The sequence below is a fragment of the Homo sapiens genome, chromosome 1 (genome assembly GCF_000001405.40).
Source record: "Homo sapiens chromosome 1, GRCh38.p14 Primary Assembly".
Taxonomy (NCBI): Eukaryota; Metazoa; Chordata; class Mammalia; order Primates; family Hominidae; genus Homo; species Homo sapiens.
The window spans coordinates 24,189,971-24,213,309 of record NC_000001.11 but is presented as its reverse complement, the minus strand read 5'-3'; the positions used below and the strand labels follow the sequence as shown (position 1 = coordinate 24,213,309).

Genomic DNA, 23,339 nt, shown 5'->3' with positions numbered 1-23,339 from the left:
CGGAGGTTGCAGTGAGCTGAGATCACACCACTGCACTCCAGCCTGGGCCACAGAGCAAGACTCCGTCTCAAACAAACAAACAAACAAACAATCAAAAAAGGCTGGAAGACCGCACTCCCTTGTAACTAGTGGCAAATGTCTGAAGTAAAAGAATAAAATAATACAGAGAAACTTTCACTTTCTCTGTATTGTTTGCATTTTTTTTTACAGTGGACATGTATTTTTCAGCAAAACGTATTTCTTTTAAAATATTAGCTGCTATAATCAGATGTTTTAGTCTGTTCAGGATGCTATTACAAAATGCCAATAAACTGGGGGGCTTATAAACAACAGCAATTTGTTCTTGACAGTTCTGGAGGCTAGAAGTCCAAGACCAAGGTGCCAGCAGATTCGGCATCTGGTGAGGACCTGTTTTCTGGTTCGTAGATGATGGCTTCTTACAGCAACCCCACCTGATGGAAGGGGCAAGGGAGTTCTCTGGGGCCTCTTTTATAAGGGCACTAATCCCATTCATGAGGGCCGTGTCTTCATGATCTAATCACCCCCAAGGCCCTCCTCCTAATATCCTAATATCCTCACACTGGTGTTCAGGTTTCAACATATAAATTTTGGGGGCACACAAACATTTAGACCATAGCAAGATGGCTTCATCTATCATCCACCCCACTACGACTAACATCCCATCAACCTCACCAGTATCACCACCTCTACCATCTCCTCCAGCATCACCTCCATCACCATCACCACCTCTATCACCATCACCACCTCCATCATCATCACCAACTCCATCACCATCACCACCTCCATCACCACCTCCATCACCCTCACCACCTCCATCACCACCTCCATCACCCTCACCACCTCCATCACCACCTCCATCACCCTCACCACCTCCGTCACCACCTCCATCACCCTCACCACCTCCATCACCACCTCCATCACCCTCACCACCTCCATCACCACCTCCATCACCCTCACCACCTCCATCACCACCTCTATCACTGCCTCCATCACTCACACCACCTCCATCACCACCTTCATCACCCTCACCATCTCCATCACCACCTCTATTACTACCTCCATCACCCTCACCACCTCCATCACCACCTCTATCACTACCTGTCACCCTCACCACCTCCACCACCACCTCCATCACCCTCACCACCTCCATCACCACCTCTATCACCACCTCCATCACCCTCACCACCTCCATCACCACCTTCATCACCCTCACCACCTCCCTCACCACCTCCATCACCCTCACCACCTCCATCACCACCTCCCTCACCACCTCCATCACCCTCACCACCTCCATCACCACCTCCATCACCCTCACCACCTCCCTCACCACCTCCATCACCCTCACCACCTCCATCACCTCTATCACCCTCATCACCTTCATCACCACCTCCATCACTACCTCTATCACCGTCACCACCCCCATCACCACTACCACCACCTTTGTGCAAGAGATGCAGTACAGCAGTGCTTAGGAACACAGATTTTAGAACAGCACTGTCTATGTAATTATAACTACATAATTCTAACTATAATTTTTAACTATATAATTTTAAATTTTCTTGTAGCCATATCAAAAAGTAAAGATAGGAGTGAAATTAGTGTTAACAATATATTTTATTTAACTCAATATATGGAAAATATGTCACCATGAAATCAATATAAAAATTTCAATGTGATATAGTACATTCTTTTTGTCACACCAACCATTCAAAACCTGGTGTCCATTACACACTCACAGCTTGTCTCGATTCACACCAGCCACATCTCTAGTGCTCAATGGTCACTCAGGGCTGGAGGCTGCCCTCCTGGGTAGCACAGTTCTGAAGCCAACTGCAGCCACCACATACTGGCTGTGTGTCTGTGGGCAAGTTGCTTAACCCCTCCGGACTCACTTTCTTCATCTGTAAATTGGGAATAAGAGCAGAGCTATGAGGATGAGATGTGTTAACATGTGCTCGTTGTTTGCTCCAGTGCCTGGCACACAGGCAGTGCTATCTAGTATTGGCTGTTATTCTTCCAGAAACCTGGAAGAAGTTCAGAGGTTTTGGCTTTGCATGTGGAACCACCCAGAGAGAGGGAGATTCATGAGCGTTGGTGTAGCCAGAGGTGGCTTCAGACTTCCTGGAGAAGTGATTTGGTCAGATCTTGCAGCTTGGACAGAGCTTGCACAGGAGAAGGAAAGCAGAGAGGGCTTTGTGGAGGAGAGGAGGGGAGTAGGGTCAGGAGGATGCCTGTCTGGTTAAGAAAGAGGGTGTAGGTTGAGGAGCAGAGGGAGAATTGGGCATGGCCAGACAAGGGGGATGAGGCAAGGACTGAGGGACCCTCGAAATCATGTCCTCCAGCATCCCCATCTGACACATGGGAACACCGAGGCCAGACAGGGAAAGTTACTTGCCCAGGGAGCCAGCCACACATGCTGCCCTTTGTTCACTGACCAAACACCCCATCCATCGGCGCTCTGCCTCTGAAGCTGGATCATGCTGAGCTGGGCAGGCATGTTTCTCTGCTTTGAAGAAGAAATTCTGTGACTCCGGAGGCCCCATCCCAGGGTCTGGACACCCCTGGAGAATTATAAGCCTTCCTTGAACTGAACGCAAATCCTTCTTTCTGTGGTTAATGGTGAATGTACCTCTTTGCAGGGTGGGCAAAGAAACTGGCCCCCAGGCTGCAAGGACCCCCTGGACCGTTTAGAGGCAACAGCTTATGCCGGGGATTCAGTCGCCGCCGTTCTCTGGTCAGTAATTAACTAGGCCTCATCTGGGCAGCGATAAGAATGCTGAGGCCGTTAGCTGGGAGTATGCTGTGTGTACATCTCCTCTGGGGATCACCCCCAACTGTTTGCTCCAGGAAGCGGGTAGCAAGTCTGCACAACCTGGCCCCCATCTCCAGGTGACTGGCCTTGAGGTCGGTGCCACCCTGGACAGAGGACCCAAGCCACCCATGGACTGACCCATGGGCAATGGGCAGGCAGCTCACTCACAAATAGCCAAGGCCATTCCCACTGAGAAGGGTCTGGTCGAGGCCACCCAGGGGTCAAAGGAAGTTCCTGGCTGTGAGGCCCTCTGCAAAGTTCATCCATGAGGACTGTGGGCTGCTTTTGTTGTTTGAAATAAACTGTTCCCAATTTTCTATCCAGTGCGTGTCCTTTCCAGAGACCTTCCCACAATGGGCATAAGTCATTTTAAAGAGTGTTTTTGTCAAGGAAATAATAAAACAAATAATATTTGTTATAAACAACACAAGTAATTTTATTATTAAGTATTAATATTAATTTGCTTTTTTTTTTTAAGACAGGGTCTCACTCTGTTGCCCAGGCTGAGTGCAGTGATGCAATCACAGCTCACTGCAGCCTCGAACTCTAGGCTCAAGAGATCCTCCCGCCTCAGCCTCCCAAGTAGCTGGTACCACAGGTCTGTCCCACCGCCCTCAGCTAATTTTTTTTTTTTTTTTTTTTGATACGGAGTATCACTCTGTCACCCAGGCTGGAGTACAGTGGCACAATCTCGGCTCACAGCAACCTCCACCTCCCAGGTTCAAGCAATTCTCCTGCCTCAGCCGCCCAAGTAGCTGGAACTACAGGTGCGCACCACCATGCCTGGCTAATTTTTTGTATTATTAGTAGAGACAGGGTTTCACCATATTGGCCAGGCTGGTTTCAAACTCCTGACCTCGTGATCCACCCGCCTTGGCTTCCCAAAGTGCTGAGATTACAGGCATGAGCCACCATGCCCGGCTGGCTAATTTTTTTAAAAATTTTTTTGTAGAGACAGGAGTCTCACTATGTTGCCCAGGCTGGTTTTGAACTCCTGGCCTCAAGCTATCCTCCCGCATCGCCCTCCCAAAATGCTGGAATTACAGGTGCGAACCATGGAGCCCGGCCTGAAAGAGCTCTCTTAACTCATGATGATAACTCAGCTCTGGCAGAGATCAAACCAGCAGCTCTGTATGTGTGACTGACAAGCACACAACAGATCCAAGTCCTCATTGGGCAGCCTGCACAGGATCAGAACATGGCCAAGTTCTAATTGGATAAACAGCCAGGGACATTGCTGTACTTTAATTGGATGACCTATACAGGAACACTTCATTGCTAAATTCGGATTGGCTAAATGTACTTCTGTCCAAGTTCATGAGGAACCTGTGCAAGGTGGTATGTTGCAGAAACCAATCTAACAGCAACTTGAAGCTGCTCATGGTCATATTTCTCGTGTTACCTTCCAGTTTCATTGCTCAATCTACAGTCCAACAGTGTCTAGAAAGAAGGATTTGGCAGATGAAAAGTCCCAAACCTATGCTCTCTTCCCTAAAGAAAGGCTGAGCTGGGCGCAGTGGCTCATGCCCGTAATCCCAGCCCTTTGGGAGGCTGAGGGGGGCAGATCCTTTGAGGTCAAGAGTTCGAGACCAGCCTGGCCAACATGGTGAAACCCCATCTCTACTAAAAATACAAAAAAATTAGTTGGGCATGGTGGCGGGCACCTGTAATCCCAGCAACCCGGGAGGCTGAGGCGGGAGAATTGCTTGAACCCAGGAGACAGAAGTTGCGGTGAGCCGGGATTGCGCCACTGCACTACAGAGTAGGCAACAGAGTGAGGCTCTTCTCGAAAAAACAAAACAACAACAACAAAAGGCTGAAACAGCTCACAATTTTGTTGACAATTAAAGTCAACAGTCCTTATTGGTGAGAGCTCTCACTTGCAGGGCAATTAACATACGCCAGGTGCTGGGCTTCATGGGCAACACCTCATTTAATCCTCACAACAACCCAATAAGGAGAGCAACATGTTTCCCCACTTTACAGATAAAGAAACTGAGATTCAGAAAGGGCCAGAAGTTGTCCAAAGCAAAGCCATGTGCCTAGACAGAATCTGAGTTGGGATTCACACACATATCTGCCTGATCTTTACCCTGGGCTGTTTCTCAGTTTGCAAATGAAACCAAAATGTGCTGCTGGACAGAAACCAGCATTCCGCTTCCTCCCAGTGCGCAGGAAGGGTGTTTATGGTGGTCCGGTCCAGGCCTACACTCAGCACCAGTACATCCACAAAGTTGGCAAAATATTGAAACGCTTCCACACTGGTTCGTAAGCAGCTGCTCTCCTGAGTCCCCCAAGGGTCTCTCAGCCTTCTTGATTCTCCAGGGACACCATCCCCTACCCTGAAGCCTTCCAGACCTCCCCACGATCCAGTGACTGAAGGGCTAATGCCCAGTCCACCGGGGGATCCCGGTACATTCCCATCTCCAGTACATGGGTCGGTGCCTCTGCTATATGGGTCAATAAATATTTGAAATATCACTCGGGTAATGCAAGATCCATAGCTTGGCAGCTTATGGTAAATTACCTCACCCAAATGACCTAGATATTCTTCCCTTCTTCCAGAATAATACGCGTCTCACCATCTGTTTTGAGAATAGGCTGATATCTAGCACATTAAGTCTGACATAGAGTAAGTCTCCAGTCCATGGAAGTATGTTGTGTTATTATAATTATTGCTAAGGTGGGTCTGCACTTTCTAGCATTTCACAAAAGGTGCTCAATAGCATTCTAGACCCAAGAGATGCTCTACTATATTAAAATAAATAAATAAATAAATGTCTGGGTGCAGTGGCTCACGCCTGTAATCCCAGCACTTTGGGAGTCCAAGGTGGGAGGATCCCATGAGATCAGGAGTTCGAGACCAGCCTGACCAACATGGAGAAACCCCGTCTCTACTGAAAATACAAAATTAGCCGGGCGTGGTGTCACATGCCTGTAATCCCAGCTACTCAGGAAGCTGAGGCAGGAGAGTTGCTTGACCTTGGGAGGCAGAGGTTGCAGTGAGCCGGGATCACGTCATTGCACTCCAGCCTGGACAACAAGAGCGAAACTCCGTATCCAAAAAAAATAAAAAAAATTCTGAGGTCAAGCAAATTTTGGAAACTGCAGATGCTCAGAGATTCACAATGTGCATTAAAGGATATAAAGGATCTGAGAAGGTCTGCATTAGATAAATTGGATTTGTATCATTTAATCCTTACATCGTCTGGTCCCAAATCCATCTGACTGCAGGACTCCCTCGTTCCGGTAGGACAGTTAGGTGGGTGGGTAAAAATTTACAGACATCCTCTACAATTTAATTTGGAAACATCTGTTTCTAGCCAAAACCAACACAGGATTCCCAAGTAATGATAGGGGCGTGTGTGCATGTGTGTGTGCGTGCTTGCGTGTGTGTGTGTGTGTGTGTGTATTTCATCTGCAAACTGAGACCATTTCCAAAAAGGGATCCAGCATTTCGAACCTGGGCTGGAAGAGGGCGTCTACGATGGGGAGGCTCACACCTGTGAGTTATCACTGGGCTTGGTCTCAGCCTCACCTCCCTCCCTCCCAGGGGATGCAAAGTGATGCCAGGCAGTGTGGGGTGGGGTCCACCTGAGAAGGCTTCCTGCAGGGAGGGAGTGTGGAGCCAGCTAAAGGGGAGGGGTGGGGTCCAGATGAGCAGAGAGGAGGTTGGAGGTGAAAATGCCACTCCCCTGGGACACATGGCACCTTCCAAATCACACAATGCCCCGTCCAAGCCAGCTGTTGGCTTTCTGCCCTGGCCTCTAGCTCTCCTTCCTTCCCCTCCTCCCCTCCCAGGTCTAGAACCATCTCCTGAGTCAGCTCTGGGCTTCCTGCTAGGAGCTCAGACCCTTCCTGCTCAGGGAAGGTAGGGCTACCTGAGGGACTGTACCTTGGGGACGGGGACTGGAAACTCACCGACAGTGCACAGCCCAAAAGGAACAGAGAGTGCAAGGCCAAATCTGTTTGCTCAGCCCTTGGGTTAACCCTGAGACTCAACCCTCTCACCCACAACCACTTCTCTTATGGGGAAGGGGTAGGAACTGCCTGTGCCTGGGGCTGGGGAAGGGAGAGGGAGCCCAACGGGTGGGAATCGAACTCAGGCTGGAGGTAGGACCGGCCTTTCTCTGGCCCCACGGGAGACCCAGAGCCAGCCTGGGAGTGAGAGGTGAGCCGGGAGTGGCAGGGGGGTGGGAGAGGCCGCATGAGCCCAGGCGCCAGGCGGGTTCCTCCACCCCAGCCAAGAGGAGCGGTCTAGATCCCTCCCTCCCTCCCTCTCAGCTGACAGGGCAGGGCCAGGCAAGCATGCAGGGACCTGGAACCGAAACTCAGCAAAGAGTGTCATTCCAGGGACCCTCGCCCAGCAAGCCTCCAACCACCCTGGCGCCTGCTCTGCCCCAAGGCCATGCCTCCCAGAAAGGGGGCTAGTGGGAACCGCAGAGCAATGGCAGAAAGAGAAGCCTTTGGGGTCAGACAGACAGACATGTTTCCTGAGCACCTGTCATGTTTCAGGCCCTGAGCTTGATTCTAGAAACACAGTGGGGACCAAAACCAGACATGGCGTCCTGCACCCTGTGTGGCCTTGGCCTGGTCACTCCACCTCTCTGAGCTTTAGCTGCCACAACTATACCACAGGGCTCCTAACTCTCTGTTGCCTGGGTTGCTTTGAAGATTAACTGAGCTAAGCCTAGTATGTGACACCCTGCAAAGGGTAGGTGCTCAATAAGGGGTAGTTACCAACATGACAGGGGCTGTGTTGAATAAAGCTCCCTGCACAGAAGGCCGGCTTTGCCCAGGTTTGCCCTCTGCCTGTTTCTAGATCTTAATTCCAGTCCTCTCTGCATGACCTCGGCAGGACCTGCCCTACCCTTCTCTGGTCCTCACTTCCCTCTCCTCCGATATGGGGTCGCAGTCCCTATGTCAGCTGCTTCCCAGGATCAAGTGAAAGCCTTTGGACCCAATAAGGAGGGTTCCCCTAGGGCACAGAGGGACAGGCTTAGCAACGATTTTCAAACTACATGTCACAATCCATTATGAGTCTTGTAAGACATGTAGTGGCTGTCGCCAGAATTTTCTTTTAATTGATTAGAGGGCATCTTGCATAGTAAGGATATGTTTTTACTTTGGGAAATTTTTATTTCAGTTAAATATCGATACATATGTTTCCTAAGTCATAGGAACACATATATCAAAATGTTTTTCTTCCTGTGGGGAGAGCAACGCTGCAAAGCAACTGGTAATGGTTAAGAACACAAGCTCTGGGGTCAGAAAAGTTTAAGTTTGGGTCCTCACTCTGCCCCTATTAATGGAGTGACGCTGGGCAAGTTACGTTAGCTCTCTGTGCCTCAGTTTCCTCTTGTGTACAAAGGGGATAGAAATAACACCTACCGGCCAGGTGCAGTGGCTCATGCCTGTAATCCCAGAGTTTTGGGAGGCCAAGGTGAGAGACTTGCTTGAGGCCAGGAGTTCAAGACCAACCTGGGCAACATAGCAAGACCCTGTTTCTACAAAAATAAAAAAAAGTTAGCTGGGGCTGGGTGCAGTGGCTCACATCTGTAATCGCAGCACTTTGGGAGGCCAAGGCAGGCAGATCATTTGAGGTCAGGAGTTCAAGACTAGCCTGGCCAACATGGTGAAACCCCACCTCTACTAAAAATACAAAAAGTAGCCAGGTGTGGTGGTGCCGGCCTGTAATCCCAGCTACTCGGGAGGCAGGAGAATCCCTTGAACTGGGAGGTGGAGGTTTCAGTGAGCAGAGATCATGCCACCACCCTCCAGCCTGGGTGACAGAGGAAGGTTCCATCTCAAAGAAAATCAGCTGAGCATGGTGGAGCATGCATGTATTTTGAGCTACTCAGGAGGCCGAGGTGGAAGGATTACTTGAGCCCAGGAGGCTGAGCCTGCAGTGAGCTGTGACTGCACCACTGTACTCTAGCCTGGGCAACAAAGCAAGACCCACTCTCTAAAAAAATTAAAAAGAAAGAAAGAATACATACCTCATTAGTACTCAGAACAGTGCTCGGCACGAGGCTTAGTGGGAGTCAGACTCAGAATGAGGAGGAAGGCAGGCCTCAGAGGGGGTGGCCTCTGTAAGTGGGAGTGGGGTCTGCTGCCCCCTCCCCAGTGCAGAAGGCTGTTCTGGCCCAGCCCCAGCACCCCTTACTTTACAGATGAGAAGCCCGAGGCCCCGAACCAGAGAGCGACTTGTCAGTCACTGAGAAGCTGGAGCCTTCCGCCTCCCAGGCCAGGGATTCCCACCTCTTACTGCCTCTTGGTCTCGACAGAGTACTTGACCCTTCGATGTCCTCTCTGTAAAATGGGGGCAGTAAATAGTTGACCTCTTAGGGTTGACTAAATGACATCCTTGATGTACAAACAAAGTGCTTGGCACAGGGCAGGCCCACAGTAAGTCTAATGAAATGTTAGCAGTTTTTACTCACAATATATTGTTCAACAAAAAAGGCAGGTTATAAAACAATATGTACAGTATGAGCTCATTTTGTATAAGTGAAAAAAAAAAAAAAAGGCATGTGGTCTGCGAGCACCTCCCAAGCAGCTCACAGTGATCATTTCTAGGTGCGTGAGTGGGTGGGGGTCGGGGCGGCGGGGGGGCGCGTTACAGGTACGTCTTTGGTTTTTGTTTGTTGCAGCCAAAGTTTCTAGTTCTAATTATTCTACAGCTAATGTGTATTGTTTTTATGTAAAGGAAAAACAGAGGTATTTTTAATCACCATAAATAAGAACGACTATCCACCTCAGCTGACTCATGCGATGTCCCCAGGCCAACACGTGGGCTGAACCCAGGCCGCCTTCCACCGAAAACCACCAGGTGTGCCATTGTGGTTTGGGGCACCGGCACACCAAGCAGCGGCCTGCTTTGCATTTTCTTTTTCTTGTTTGTTCACAGTGACAGCTGATGACCCACTGGTGGCATTCCGTGTAACAAACACATGCCAAAGATTGCAGATTTCGTAGGCAGGAGGGAGGGAAGGAGGGAGGGAGGGAGGCAAAGGCACGCTGGAGTTTATCAAGCAATAAGTCCTGGCATCTTCCTTATGCAAAACCCAGGCTGGGAGTGGACAGTGATAAGGGCTAGGGACAGATATTCTGTAGGCTGTGGATGCCACGCCAAGAGGAAGAATGAAGGGAGGGGTACATGGAAGGAGATGGTGGCTGAGGCAGGAGGGCACGGGGAAGAAAGGGAGGTGGTTCAGAGGCTGCTCCCCCACCTGCTGGGCCCTTTCCAGGGCCTTCCCAGAAGTTCACCTGATGCTAAGCAGCAGGGGTGTGTGGGCAGCAGGGGTGTGTGGGCAGCAGGGGTGTGTGGGCAGCAGGGATGTGTGGGCAGCAGGGGTGTGTGGGAGGTGGGGATGTATGCCCTGGCGGGGGATGGGGGAATCAGGAAAGAGATTCTATTTGGCCAAGAGAGGGATATTGAGGCTATAGAGGGCTGGAGAATCATGTTCAACGGTGAGTGTGGGGAAAGATGGATCCAAGATGGACCCTTTTAAAAAGACACGTGCTTTAGGGAGCCTGTGGTTTCATGGGTCTCCACAAGCATCCAGAAATCTGTCCTCTGACAGCACCCTGGCTGCCCATCCCCTATCACAGGGTAGGTAGAACTGTCTATCTGTTATGATCCACAGCAGCCATCCCCCAGCCGAGCCCCATCTCAGCCTCCTGAGGCTCAGCCCCCATCTCCCCGTCTCGAGGCCCAGCCCGTGTCTCAGCCTCCCGAGGCTCAGCACGGTCTCCCTCCATCTTAGTCAAGCCCTGTGCCCAGCACAGGGCCGAAAGACAGAAGATGCCCACTGAGCCCCCAGTGAACACCTGAGTCTGAAAGATGAGTGTGGTCTGAGTGGCGAGTGACTCACCTGTGCCTGAGGCTTAGGAGACCCACCTCCCAGGTTCCCTTTAGCTCGCTGTGATCTGAGCTTGGGAGCATCGTGGAACAGGTCCCTGCCTTTTATTCCATCTGCACAGCAGGGTTAGTCCTGCCCGGCTCCATCTCTGAAGAGGAGGAATCAAAAAAAGGGATTTTACAGAGTTGAGGGGGAAGAGAGAGGGCGCAGGAAACCTATTCCAAGCTGGCATGTCCTGCACGTGCCTGCTGGCTTTGGGGAAGTTGGCGGCCGCTAGGGGCCTGGACAAGAAGGAAAGGTTGGCCAGGGCCTGGGTTGCCAGATTCAGCAGCTTGGCTGGAGGCTATAAGCAGGAGGAGGCCAGGAACTGGATCTGAGAAGAGAGGACCAGTCCCAGGAAGAAAGCTGAGACACTGCTGTCTGGGAGGAGCCAAGAGCTTGGTTTATTGTACCAGGAAGAAAAGTCTAGGCCTCTGCCAGGGCAATCATCAGAGAACACTGCTCCAGGGAAAACTGCCTCCCACTTCCTGGACCTCTGTGGGCAATAGAGAAGTACATGTCAGCAGTGCCTCCTGCTGGACAGCCCCAACATTACACTATTTGTCCAATGTCAGAAACAGAATGTAAGACGGATGTATCTGGAATGTTCAAGCTGGAGTAACACCATCCAACAACTATTACTGCTGCTGCTGCCACTTTTATTGATGGTTGACTGTGTCCCAGGCACTGTGCTAAATAATTTTATTGGATGATCTCAATGTTCACAACAGCCCTATGAAATAGGAACTATTACTAATCCAATTTTTCAGATGAAGAAACTGAGAAACAGTTTTTTTCTGAGGTTTCAAGTTAGCTGGTAGCAAGATTAGCTGTGCAGCCCAGGCCTCTCTAGCCCAAAAGCCCATGGTTTTTTGTTGTTGTTGTTGTTTTTTGAGACGGAGTCTCACTCTGTCGCCCAGGCTGGAGTGCAGTGGCGCGATCTCGGCTCACTGCAAGCTCCACCTCCAGGGTTCACGCCATTCTCCTGCCTCAGCCTCCCAAGTAGCTGGGACTACAGGCACCCGCCACCACGCCCGGCTAATTTTTTGTATTTTTAGTAGAGACAGGGTTTCACCATGTTAGCCAGGATGGTCTTAATCTTCTGACCTTGTGATCTGCCTGCCTCAGCCTCCCAAAATGCTGGGATTACAGGCGTGAGCCACGGCGCCCGGCCCAAGCCCATGGTTTTAACCGCATTCTTGGGTATCTCAACCAGTTCAGGATGATGGAGAGTTTTCGTTTTTGTATCATCTCCACTTGGTTGGTAGAGGCTGCCTAGAGCTCTGGGTTGAGAGGATTCCTGAGTGCTGTGATGAATTTGTGATATCTGCCAGCGGCACTGGAAGGGATGTGGCCGCATGCGTGTGAGTTATGTTTTCATCTCTGATCTAGTCCAATCTATTGTATACTGTGATCCTTATAGGACCCTGAGAAAAGGAATCAAGGCTAAATCTTTTTTTTGAGACTGGGTCTTGCCCTGTTGCCCAGGGTGGACTGCAGTAGTGTGATCACAGCTCACTGCAGCCTCAACCTCCCAGGCACAAGTGATCCTCCTACCTCAACCTCCCAAGTAGCTGGGACCACAGATGTGTGCCTCCACACCTCACTAACTTGTTTTGTTTTTTGTAGAGATGGGGTCTCCCTATGTTGCCCAGGCTGGTCTCAAACTCCTGGGTGATCCTCCCACCTCAGTCTCCTAAAGTGTTAGGATTACAGGCGTGAGCCACCGAGCCCAGCCTAAGGCTCAGTTTTCTGACCTCTGTCTTTACTCAATCACTCGGTGACCTAAAAGGCATCTCAAATGTAGCATGTCTAAATATGGAACTCTTGATTTGCACCTCCAAACCATCCCTCCACCATCTTCCCCACTAAGTAAAAGGCACCGCTAGTCTTTGTTGGCTCAAGACAAAAAGCCTTAGTATCACCCTTGACCTCCTTTTTCTCTCACCCCTGACATCAAATCTTTCAATACATCTCACTGGTTCTCCCCTTGAAATATATCCAGAATCCAGCCACGTCTCACCACCTTCACAGCTGCCACCACCATTGTCTTCCCTGGACTAATGTAGTAACCAATCTTGCTCCACGTGTCCTTACCCCCTGTATTAGTCTGTTTTCATGCTGCTAATAAAGACCAGAGACTGGGTAATTTACAAAGAAAAAGAGGTTTAGTAGACTCACAGTTCCAAGTGGCTGGGGAGGCCTCACAATCATGGCAGAAGGCAAAAGGCACGTCTTACGTAGCAGCAGACAAGAGGGAATGAATGAGAGCTAAGCAAAAGGGGAAACCCCTTATAAAATCATCAGATCTTATAAGACTTATTCACTACCATGGGAACCGTATGGGGGAAACTGCTCCCATGATTCAACTGTCTCCCACCAGGTCCCTCCCACAACACGTGGGAATTATGGGAGCTACAATTCAAGATGAGATTTGGGTGGCGACACAGCCAAACATATCACCCACTACACCTTAGTCTCAACTCAGCAGACATCCTTAGGCCTTCTCGGTTTTTCTTTCTTTTTTTTTTTTTAATTATACTTCAAGTTTTAGGGTACATGTGCACAACGTGCAGGTTAGTTACATATGTATACATGTGCCATGTTGGTGTGCTGCACCCATTAACTCGTCATTTAACATTAGGTATATCTCCTAATGCTATCCCTCCCCCCTCCCACTTCTCGGTTTTTCAAAGCACTTTGGCATAAGTTACACACACACACACGCGCGCACACACACACACACACACACAGAGTAAAGCGAGGCAGGAAATTGTCACTCCCATTTGACACATGAGAAAAACTGAGGCTTGGAAAGGTGATGCAAAGACATCAAAGACACAGCGGGGGAGTTGCCCCAGCTCTTACTGTGACGCCATACACTGCCATTTCCCTTCTGGACATGACCCTCTGTCTCCCACAGCCTCCTATGGGTACATCCGAGAGTCTCCCAAGAGGCTGCAGAACGTCAGGTAAGGAGAATGTCAAGGAAGCCAGGAGAGTTGGTCTTCTCTCTGCCTTGGAGGGCCCCAGTCTAAGAAAAAAAAAACGTTATCTCTTTGGTCTAATCCGCGGTCTCGCAGTCTGGACCACTTTCCTTTGGTATGTGGTGCCCCCTGGTGCTCACTCTTAGGAAATGCAGCTGGTTATCTAAGCTTTAGGGGAGAGGGGTGAGCTTTCATGGTGGAGGTGATGCCTGGGGGCTCTTCTGACCACCCTCTCAGAGGAGCTCCCTCCCAGCACAACTGTTCCATGCCTTAGAGACCAGCGTGTGCGTCCAGGTTGATGAGGGCCACACTGCTCCTTTAAAAATTCACCAATCCACGACTTCTAGTGGGAACCCAAATTGGTACAGCCTTTTTGAAAAGTCATTTAAAATAATAATAATAAAATAAAATAGCTGGACATGGTGGCTCATGCCGCAATCCCAGCATTTTGGAATGCTGAGGTGGATGGATCGCTTGAGCTCAGGAGTTTGAGACCAGCCTGGGAAACATGGTGAAACCCTATCTCTACAAAAAATACAAAAAATTGGCCAGTCGTGGTACACGCCTGTGGTCCCAGCTACTCAGGAGGCTGAGGGGGGAGGGTTTCTTGAGCCTCGGAGGTCAAGACTGCGGTAAGCCAAGATTGTGTCACTGCACTGCAGCCCAGATGACAGAGTGAGATCACGTCTAAAAAAAAAAAAAAATTAACTTGGGAGGCCAAGGTGAGAGGATCACTTGACACCTGGAGTTTGAGACTAGTCTGGACAACATCACAAGACTCCATCTCTTAAAAAATTAAAATACTTAGCCGGGTGTGAAGGTGCATGCCTGCAGTCCCAGCTACTTGGGTGGCTGAGGCTGGAGGATCGCCTGAGCCCAGTTCAAGGCTTCAGGCAGCCATGATTGTTCTGCTGCACTCCAGCCTGGGTGACAGAGCGAGAACCCATCTCTAAAACAAATTTTCTTAGTTAAAACTTTAAAAAATATTTTAAATGACATACTCATGATATAATGTGAGCTACTAAACATATATATAAAATACTGTATATGTACTAAACTCACAAATGGTAGCAATGAGTCTCTCTGCAGAGTGAGATTATATTTTATTTTTATTCTTTATAATTTTCTATACTTTCCCAATTTTCGGCATTCAGCATGTTTCACTTTTCTAAAGTATAGTTTTGTGAAGGAAAAATTATAATAAATCCCTTTCCATCTGGTTTCCTGTCCCTGTCATCTGCTGTATGCTGGTCAGAACATCTCTGGAGCACTATTCAGTGAGCAACAGGAGAGTTAAAGATTTGTCCACCAGTGAGAACACGTGTGCATTACAGTGGAGGAGCTTCTGAACGCCTTGCTTTACTCAGGGATTCCAGAGTCCCAGCAGGGGCCGGAGGAAGAAGAACAGACTCCTAGAGAGGAAGAAACTTTGACCTCAAAAATGAAGAAACAGAGGACCAAAAGGAAGCTCTTGACCAAGATTCTTAGGCAGATGGAGACAGGGTTGGGTTTAGCATTGGTCACACAGCAGATGGAGACAGGGCTGGGTCTAGTGTTGGTCACACAGCAGATAGTCAGGTTGCCTGACCCGAATTCCTGAGTTCTTCCCCCACACCAGCAACCTGGAACTTCTAGAAAAAGCCCATGAACACGCAAATGAACACAACAGTGAGAAACCTCTCTTGGCAAAACATTATAAGCTGGCTGAGACCTAGGATTGACTAGGATGTTAGGAAAAGGATAGTCTCATATATCCTACCGGTAGGAAGTTGGTTCAGCCACCATGGAGAGCGACTTGCAGTATCTGTAGTATCTGTTAAATTTTAAAATGCACACACCCCGCCAGGAGCAGTGGTTCAGGCCTGTAATCCCAGCACTTTGGGAGGCCAAGGCAGGCAGATCACCTGAGGTCAGGAGTTTGAGACCAGCCTGGCCAACATGGTGAAACCCCGTCTCTACTAAAAATATAAAAATTAGCTGGGTGTGGTGGCACACACGCCTGTAGTTCCAGCTACTCGGGAGGCTGAGGCAGCAGAATCACTTGAATCCAGGAGGCGGAGGTTGCAGTGAGCCGAAATCGCACCACTGCACTCCAGCCTGGGCAACAGAGCAAGACTCTGTCTCAAAATAAATAAATAAAATAATAAAATAAAATGCACACACCCTATGGCCCAGCAGACTCATGTTTCCTTATTATCTCCCTCAGAAAAACAAACACTTAAGTGCACATGGGGCCAATTACAAAAGTAATCATTGGAGTGTTTTATTGCGAAAAGCTGGAAATAGTCTAAATATCCACACATCCATTGAGAAACAGTTTATAAAATAAGGCACACATGAACCATGGAATGTACCTTGAGCAGTGAGGCAGGCGGTCTCCAGGTACTCTTATGGGAAGTTCTCCAGGAAGTTCTGTTGAGTAAAATATCGGAAGCAGGAGGCATAATAACTGAGTATGACACAATTCATATAAAAACCACCCACAGGGCCGGGGCGAGGTGGCTCACGCCTGTAATCCCAACACTTTGGGAGGCCAAGGCAGGTGGATCACAAGGTCAGGAGTTTGAGACCAGCCTGGCCAAGACAGTGAAACCGCGTCTCTACTAAAAATGCAAAAATTAGCTGGGTGTGGTGGCGGGCATCCCAGCTACTCAGGAGGCTGAGGCAGGAGAATCGCTTGAACCTGGGAGGTGGAGGTTGCAGTGAGCTGAGATCGTGGCACTGCACTCCAGCCTGGGTGACAGGGTGAGACTCAGTATCAAAAAAAAAAAAAAAAAAAAAAAAAAAAAAAACACACACAGGGATGTACAGTATGATGTATTTTCTATGGGCCTATAGAAAAAGATTTGAAAATATTGCTCCCAAACTGATAATAATAATGATTACTTTTGAGAGGGAGGGGAGAAAGGATAGGGGAATGATGAATCAGTGCTATTTTAATGTGTTGAAAGGAAAATGAATTCATCGATTGCCTGTGTAATTTAAAATTTATTATTAGAAAGACAGAGATAAGAAGAAAAATAAACTTTTTTTTTTTTTTTTGAGGCTGAGTCTCACAGTCTGGCCCAGGCTAGAGAGCAGTGGTGCAATCCTGGCTCACTGCAGCCTCGACCTCCCTGGCTCAACAAATCCTCCCACCTCAGCCTCCCAAGTAGCTGGGACAACAGCTGCATGCCACCACACCTGGCTAATTTATTATTTTTGTTGTAGAGACGGGGGTCTCACCGTGTTGCGCAGGCTGGCTTCGAATTCACCGGCTTAAGCGATCCTCCTGCCTCGGCTTCCCAAAATACTGGGATTACAGGCGTGAGCCAGAAAGAATTTTCTAAAGGGAGGAGAATCACAGGAGGATGTAGCACACAGTAGTAGGCCCACAAGGTCCAACGGGTAGGACCAGAGTCCCCACCGGGCGTAGAAGAGTCCCGTTTGTGAGCTAGGGCTGGGCTCCCAGCCACCGAGCTGCCAGGCAGCAGGTTCGCGCACGCTTTCCCAGAAAAGTCTGGGCGCGCACCGTGCCTGCCCCTGCAAGCCCGGCGGCCAGTGCGCCTGGGAACCGCTGTCAAGCGCCAGCGGCCTTCCCAGGCCTGGAAGGAGCAGATAAAGGCGGGGATGGAAAGAGCCTAGCTGTTCTTACAGGAAAGGGAGAGGGGGTTCTTGGATAAGAATGGCCCTCGCCTCCTCTCCCGCTTCTTCTGCGCCTTTGCTCCCTCGGATCCTTTGAGCAGGGCCACACTTGGAGTCCTCCACGCCAGGGCCTGGAGGGAATGTCCCACCCCCACCACGCCTCACTGCCCGCTGAGACAGAAAAGGCTGGCCCGAGATGAAGGGCTGAGCCAAGATCTGAAATCACAGGCTCTTTCCTAGGCTGCCACATGGCCTTGGGTTCAAATCCCAGTTCTACCACCCTCAAAACTTTGCACCCCTAGAGACCACCCCGCAACTGAGATATAATTCACATACTATAAAATCCACCATTAAAAATGCACACTTTTTAATATATTCACAAAGTCATGCAACCATTTCTACTCTCTAATCTGAGAACGTTTTCATCACCTGGAAAATAAACTCTACCCACTAGTAACCATTCCCCATACCCCTCCCTTTCCCCAGCCCCTGGCAACCACTGATATACAACTGACCATTGAACATGGGTTTGAACTGTGAGGGTCCACTTATATGTGAATTTTCTTCTGCCTCTTCCACCGAGACAGCAAGACTAAACCCTCCTCCTCCACCACCTACTCATTATGAAGAAAATGAGGATGAAGACTTTTATGATGACTCACTTCCACTTAATGAATAGTAAATGTATTTTCTCTTTCTTATGGTTTCCGTAATAACATTTTCATTTCTCTGTTTACTAGAGTACAGTATATATGTAAGAGTGCAGTATATATATATATATATATGACATGCAAAATATATGTTGTTTATGTAATCAATAAGGCTTCCGATCAACAGTAGGCTATTAGTAGTTAAGTTTTGGGGGAGTCAAAGCTTACACTCAAATTTTCAAACTCTTCTCTTCACTTCTTTACCTATTTGAATTTCATTCAACAATTGTTGGAATTAAGTTTACTGTGGAGCAAAATGGTGGCTGCCTGCTCGCGCGCTCTCTCTCTCTCTCTCTCTGTCTCTCTCACACACACACACACACACGCACACACACACACCATTTAATACCGGTCTAAGCCCAAACTGGCCGGGTGCGGTGGCTCACGCCTGTAATCCCAGCACTTAGGGAGGCCGAGGCAGGTGGATCACCTGAGGTCAGGAGTTCAAGACCAGCCTGGCCAAAATGGTGAAACTCCGTCTCTACTAAAAATACAAAAAAATTAACCAGGCATGGTGGCGCACAGCTGTAGTCTCAGCTACTTGGGAGGCTGAGGCATGAGAATTGCTTGAACCCAATCAGCTAAGATCACGCCACTGCACTCCTCCAGCCTGGGCAACAGAGCAAGACTCTGTCTCAATAAATAAATAAATAATAAAAATAGGGGTCCAAGCCCAAACTAAATGGAAAGGTAAAATATATCCACCACCCCACATCATAGTATGTTAGAGCTGGGATCAAATACTACAGTGTTTCTGAAAGTGTGGAACCCAGACTAGCAGCACCATCATCACCAGCATCACCTGGGAACTGGTTAAAATGCAAATCCTTAAGCCGCACCTCAGAAAAAAAATGGAACCGGGGACTCTGGAGATGAACCCCAGCAACCTGTGTCTTAACCAGCTCTCCAGCTATGGCTCACGCCTGTAATCCCAGCACTTCGGGAGGCCCAAACGGGTGGATCACTTGAACCCAGGAGTTCAAGACCAGCCTGGGCAACACAGCAAAACCAAGTCTCTACAAAAAATAAACGAAATTAGCCGGGTGTGGCTGCATGTACCTATAGTCCCAGCTATTCAGGAGGCTGAGGCAGGAGGATCGTTGAGCCCAGGAGATTGAGGCTGCAGTGAGCCGTGATCATGCCACTGCACTCCAGCCAGGTGATTCTAATACACATGAAAGTTCCCAAATTACAGATGAGAAAACTGAGGCCCAGAGAAAGGATGTAACTTTCTCAAGACCACAGAGTGATAAAGAAAGAAGCTTTGGAATTGTGTGGTCCTGGATGTGAGTTCCAGCTTCCCCATTTCCACCTGTGTGACCTTGGGCATGTCTCTTAACCTCCCTTTACTTTAGTATCCTTATCTGTGAAATGGGAACTGTGTATACCTCCCTCCAAGCAAGGCCACTTCGCTGCATTAAAGCCGGCGTGAGGGCTGGAACTGAGGTCTCCTGGTTCCCAGGCTGGTGCTCTTACACCAGGAAACTGGCTGTCATCTGTGCACCATCTACAAGAAGGATCTTGAGACTTAACATCTGTAAAGGCTGGCATGGGGAGAAGGGCTTTGTTTTCTTCTGTGAGGCCCCAAAAGGAAGAATTAGATGACTAGGGTAAATTACAAGGAGGTAGGTCAAAGTAAGGGCGATGTTCCTAACTAGAACTGTTCACAAACAGAATTGGCAGCCCCAAAAGATAGCAGGATCTCGTCCCCCAATGAGTCCAAGCAGCAGCATCCAGCTGGTCTCTCCAGGATGTTGAAGAGGGTAGACTTTCAGGGTAGGAAGTTGGTGGGGATGATCTCTAAGGACTCCTCCTCTGCAACCCAGCAGTGGGTGTATGCCGTTTGCCTCTGCAGCCTCCATTCCTCTGAGGAACCAATCTTCCTCCAGTTCCTATAGTTGGAGGAGCTGTCAATCAGAATACTCCCTTACCCCTCTCCCCCGGGATGGGCATTCTACCCAGAGAGGCCAATGACAGTAGCCCATTCTTCTGACCACATCGATTGGCTCAGGAAATGGCATGTGACCCAAGCCAGGCCAATCAGAATCTGTTTCCACTAGAGCCGTCCCAGAGCCACATCCATCCTTGAACTTCTCAATCTGGGGAACTTGCAGAATTCCTTTTGCACTTATGTCAGTTTAGAGTTTGTGTTCTTGCAGCTGGTAAAGTCTTAAATTCCACTCCCACATACAAATGATCTCCTTGTTCTTGTACTGGGCCCTGCCTGCCTCCAGCATTACATTAAAACAACAGCAAGAAGAATAATAGTCAAAACAACAATGGTTTAAAATCTTTAGTTTCTTGGGGGGGGAAAATGCCAAAAGAAATTTCAGTCCTGACACAGAGCCAAAAATTTGGAAATCCATTTTCTCCACCTCTCTTTCCATACATCTCATATTCACACTCACATTCAGCTCTTAGAGCAGCTGGTCCCTGCACTTGCTCCTTTTCTCTCCACATGTCCCCCAAAACTGACTTTTAAAACCCAGCCCCAATTGGCTTTTACATTTTGCCTCCTCTCCTGCCTTTTCCCAGTCCTATGGGACACTTTGCCAGCCTGCGCATAATTATCTTAGTAGACAGGAGAGGGAGAGGCTGTGAACTCCCTCTCTCTCTCTCTCTCCCTCTTTCTCTCTCTCTCTCTCTCACACACACACACACACACACAGAGTAATGTGGTTTTGTTTCCCCTGTTGCACATTATTATTATTATTTTATTTTATTTTATTATTTTGAGACAGAGTTTTGCTGTCATTGCCCAGGCTGCAGTCCAGTGGCATGATCTTGGCTCACTGCAACCTCCACCTCCCAGGTTCAAGCGATTCTCCTGCCTCAGCCTCCCGAGTAGCTGGGATTACAGGCACATGCCACCACGCCCAGCTAATTTTTGTATTTTTAGTAAAGATGGGGTTTCACCACGTTGGCCAGTCTGGTCTTGAACTTCTGACCTTAGGAGATCCACCCACCTCAGCCTCCCAAACTGTTGGGATTACAGGCGTAAGCCACCGTGCCCAGCCACATTATTTTTTAAACATTATTCTTGGGGACAACAGAAGACTGTAAAATCCCAGCTATGGAGGGGAGCATGACAGTGGAGTTATACTTTCGAAAGAAACACTGAGGTCTTCTAACTATGAGTCATATGCCAAGTTCAAGTCAGTAAACACTTAGTGAGTGGCTAAGGCGTGGCAGATAAGAACCAGGAGAGGGGCTGAGTTGTTTAGGGCATATGAAATTGTGTTTGACTGAGCCCCATTCAGCAAAGGTTTGCTTACTCACAGTTCATTGAGCACCTACTATGTGCCAGGCCCTGAGCGAGTCATTAGAGTTGTATCCAAGAAGTAAGATATTCAGTGCACAAAAATGATGATATTGTGATTAATTCATATCAAAGAGACTGCTATGGTTTGAATGTGGCCTTCAAAATTCATGTGCTGGAAACTCAATCCCCAATGCGACAGTGTTGGGAAGTAGGGCCTGATGGAAGGTGTGTAGGTCGTGAGGGCTCTGCCATCATCAATGGATTAATGAGTCCATAAAAAGGGCTTGTGAGAATGGGTTCTCTCTCTCTCTCTCTCTCTCTCCTCTTCTGTCATGTGAGGACACGGTGTCCTCCCCTTCAGACGACAAAACATTCAGGGTGCCATCTTGGAAGCAGAGAGACTGGGTCATAACCTGAAGGCATCTTGAACTTGAACTTCCCAGCCTCCAGAGCTGTGAGAAATAAATTTCTGTTCTTTGTAAATAACTCACTCTGTGGTATTTTGTTACAGCAGCGCAAAATGGGCTAAGTCAGAGACATACATGGGGATTGGGAGCAAATCAAAGACAGTGGTTAAGAAAGCCTCCCTGAGGAAGTGGCATGTGAGCTGAGACTGAATCAAGAATAGGGGCCTGTTGGAAGACTAGCGGAAGATAAGCCTGGGAAGGAAATTCCCACCACAGGGACCAGTGTTTGAAAAGGCCAGGGGGCAAGAGAAAGAAGGGAACTGGAAGCCTCTGTGGCCGGAACACAGAGAACTAGTGGGGAACTTCAAAAGGTGGATGGAGGCCACATTGTGAAAACCTTCAACAGCTGCATAAGAGATTTTGAGCCTCAAGTCATGGACCAGAGACTTTTAACATGAGCCCCATAGGCCCTTAGGGGTTGGGATGTGGTTTGTTCTAAACATAGAAAAGCTCAGCTGTGGTGCCACAGATGTTGGGTCCTCCAACAGTGAGGGAAATTGGCTTCGTCCACCCAGTGGTGTGCTGGAGCTGGCTCCTACAGGCTCAGGAGCCAATTGTGCACATTTCTTCTGTTTTGTTTTTTTTTTGTTTTTGTTTTTGTTTTGAGATGGAGTCTTTCTCTGCCGCCCAGGCTGGAGTGCAGTAGCGTGATCTTGGCTCACTGCAAGCTCCTCCTCCTGGGTTCACGCCATTCTCCTGCCTCAGCCTCCCGAGTAGCTGGGACTACAGGCACCCGCCACCGCACCCGGCTAATTTTTTTGTATTTTTAGTAAAGATGGGGTTTCACCATGTTAGCTAGGATGGTCTTGATCTCCTGACCTCGTGATCCGCCCCCCTCAGCCTCCCAAAGTGCTGGGATTACAGGCATGAGCCACTGTGCCCGGCCACATTTCTTCTTATCTCTGTGTTCAGTGACCTCACATTTGCTAGCTTAAAGTCAGCCACAGTGGGGATATTCACACCACGAAGGTTGGGAAACACAAGAAAGCAGGACTTTTACCCCTGTCCCCTAAACCCCCAACCAGTTGTGAAACATTTATCAGCACCACTGCTTCATACCTAATATTCCAACCCAAAGAGGAAGCTGGCTCTTCAGTGCCCACCGTTCCACTCATGAGAGTTGAGAGGTTAGCGCCATGATCTTTGCAAATCAGGAAGTGATTAAGACTGGGGAGGTTTGTTCTTGTTTGCCCTTAAGCAAGCAAGAGGCTGGGTAGCAGAAGTTTTAAAACCACAAGCTTTGAGGACAGACAGACTGAGTTCCAAATTGCAGCCCTATCACTATAATTAGCTGTGTGACCTAAGCAAGGATGTAACCTCTCCGAGTTTCATCTGTTGAAAGGGGATATTAATAATATCCACCTCATAGGGTTGTTGTGAAGATTAAATACTGTATGTAAACTGCAGTGCCACTATATAACAAAGACTCAATAAAGATTCGTGCAGTCAGCTGTTTGGGATAAAGAGATATCAATAGAGATATATTCATTTTATTCCAGAATGGATGGATTGTATTTGAGATACCTGAAAGAAATTGAAGCAGTGTATTTAG

At 48.7% G+C, this 23,339-nt stretch overlaps 1 long non-coding RNA gene across 1 annotated transcript, besides 2 other annotated features; it reads right to left on the bottom strand.

Annotated features, from left to right (window-relative positions):
- Positions 1 to 1,619: 1,619 nt before the first annotated feature.
- Positions 1,620 to 13,070, bottom strand: LINC02800 (long intergenic non-protein coding RNA 2800). Its single transcript, NR_027087.2, has 3 exons — positions 12,919 to 13,070; positions 10,711 to 10,846; positions 1,620 to 3,177 (listed from the first exon to the last, which is right to left on the bottom strand). It is a non-coding gene; the product is annotated as a long intergenic non-protein coding RNA 2800 (long non-coding RNA).
- Positions 13,639 to 13,748: an enhancer, noted in NCBI's record as "active region_391". NCBI's record gives its function as "activates an Ori minimal core promoter by ATAC-STARR-seq in GM12878 lymphoblastoid cells {active_cell/tissue: GM12878}" and the evidence as "EXISTENCE:reporter gene assay evidence [ECO:0000049][PMID:35858748]".
- Positions 21,813 to 21,902: an enhancer, noted in NCBI's record as "active region_390". NCBI's record gives its function as "activates an Ori minimal core promoter by ATAC-STARR-seq in GM12878 lymphoblastoid cells {active_cell/tissue: GM12878}" and the evidence as "EXISTENCE:reporter gene assay evidence [ECO:0000049][PMID:35858748]".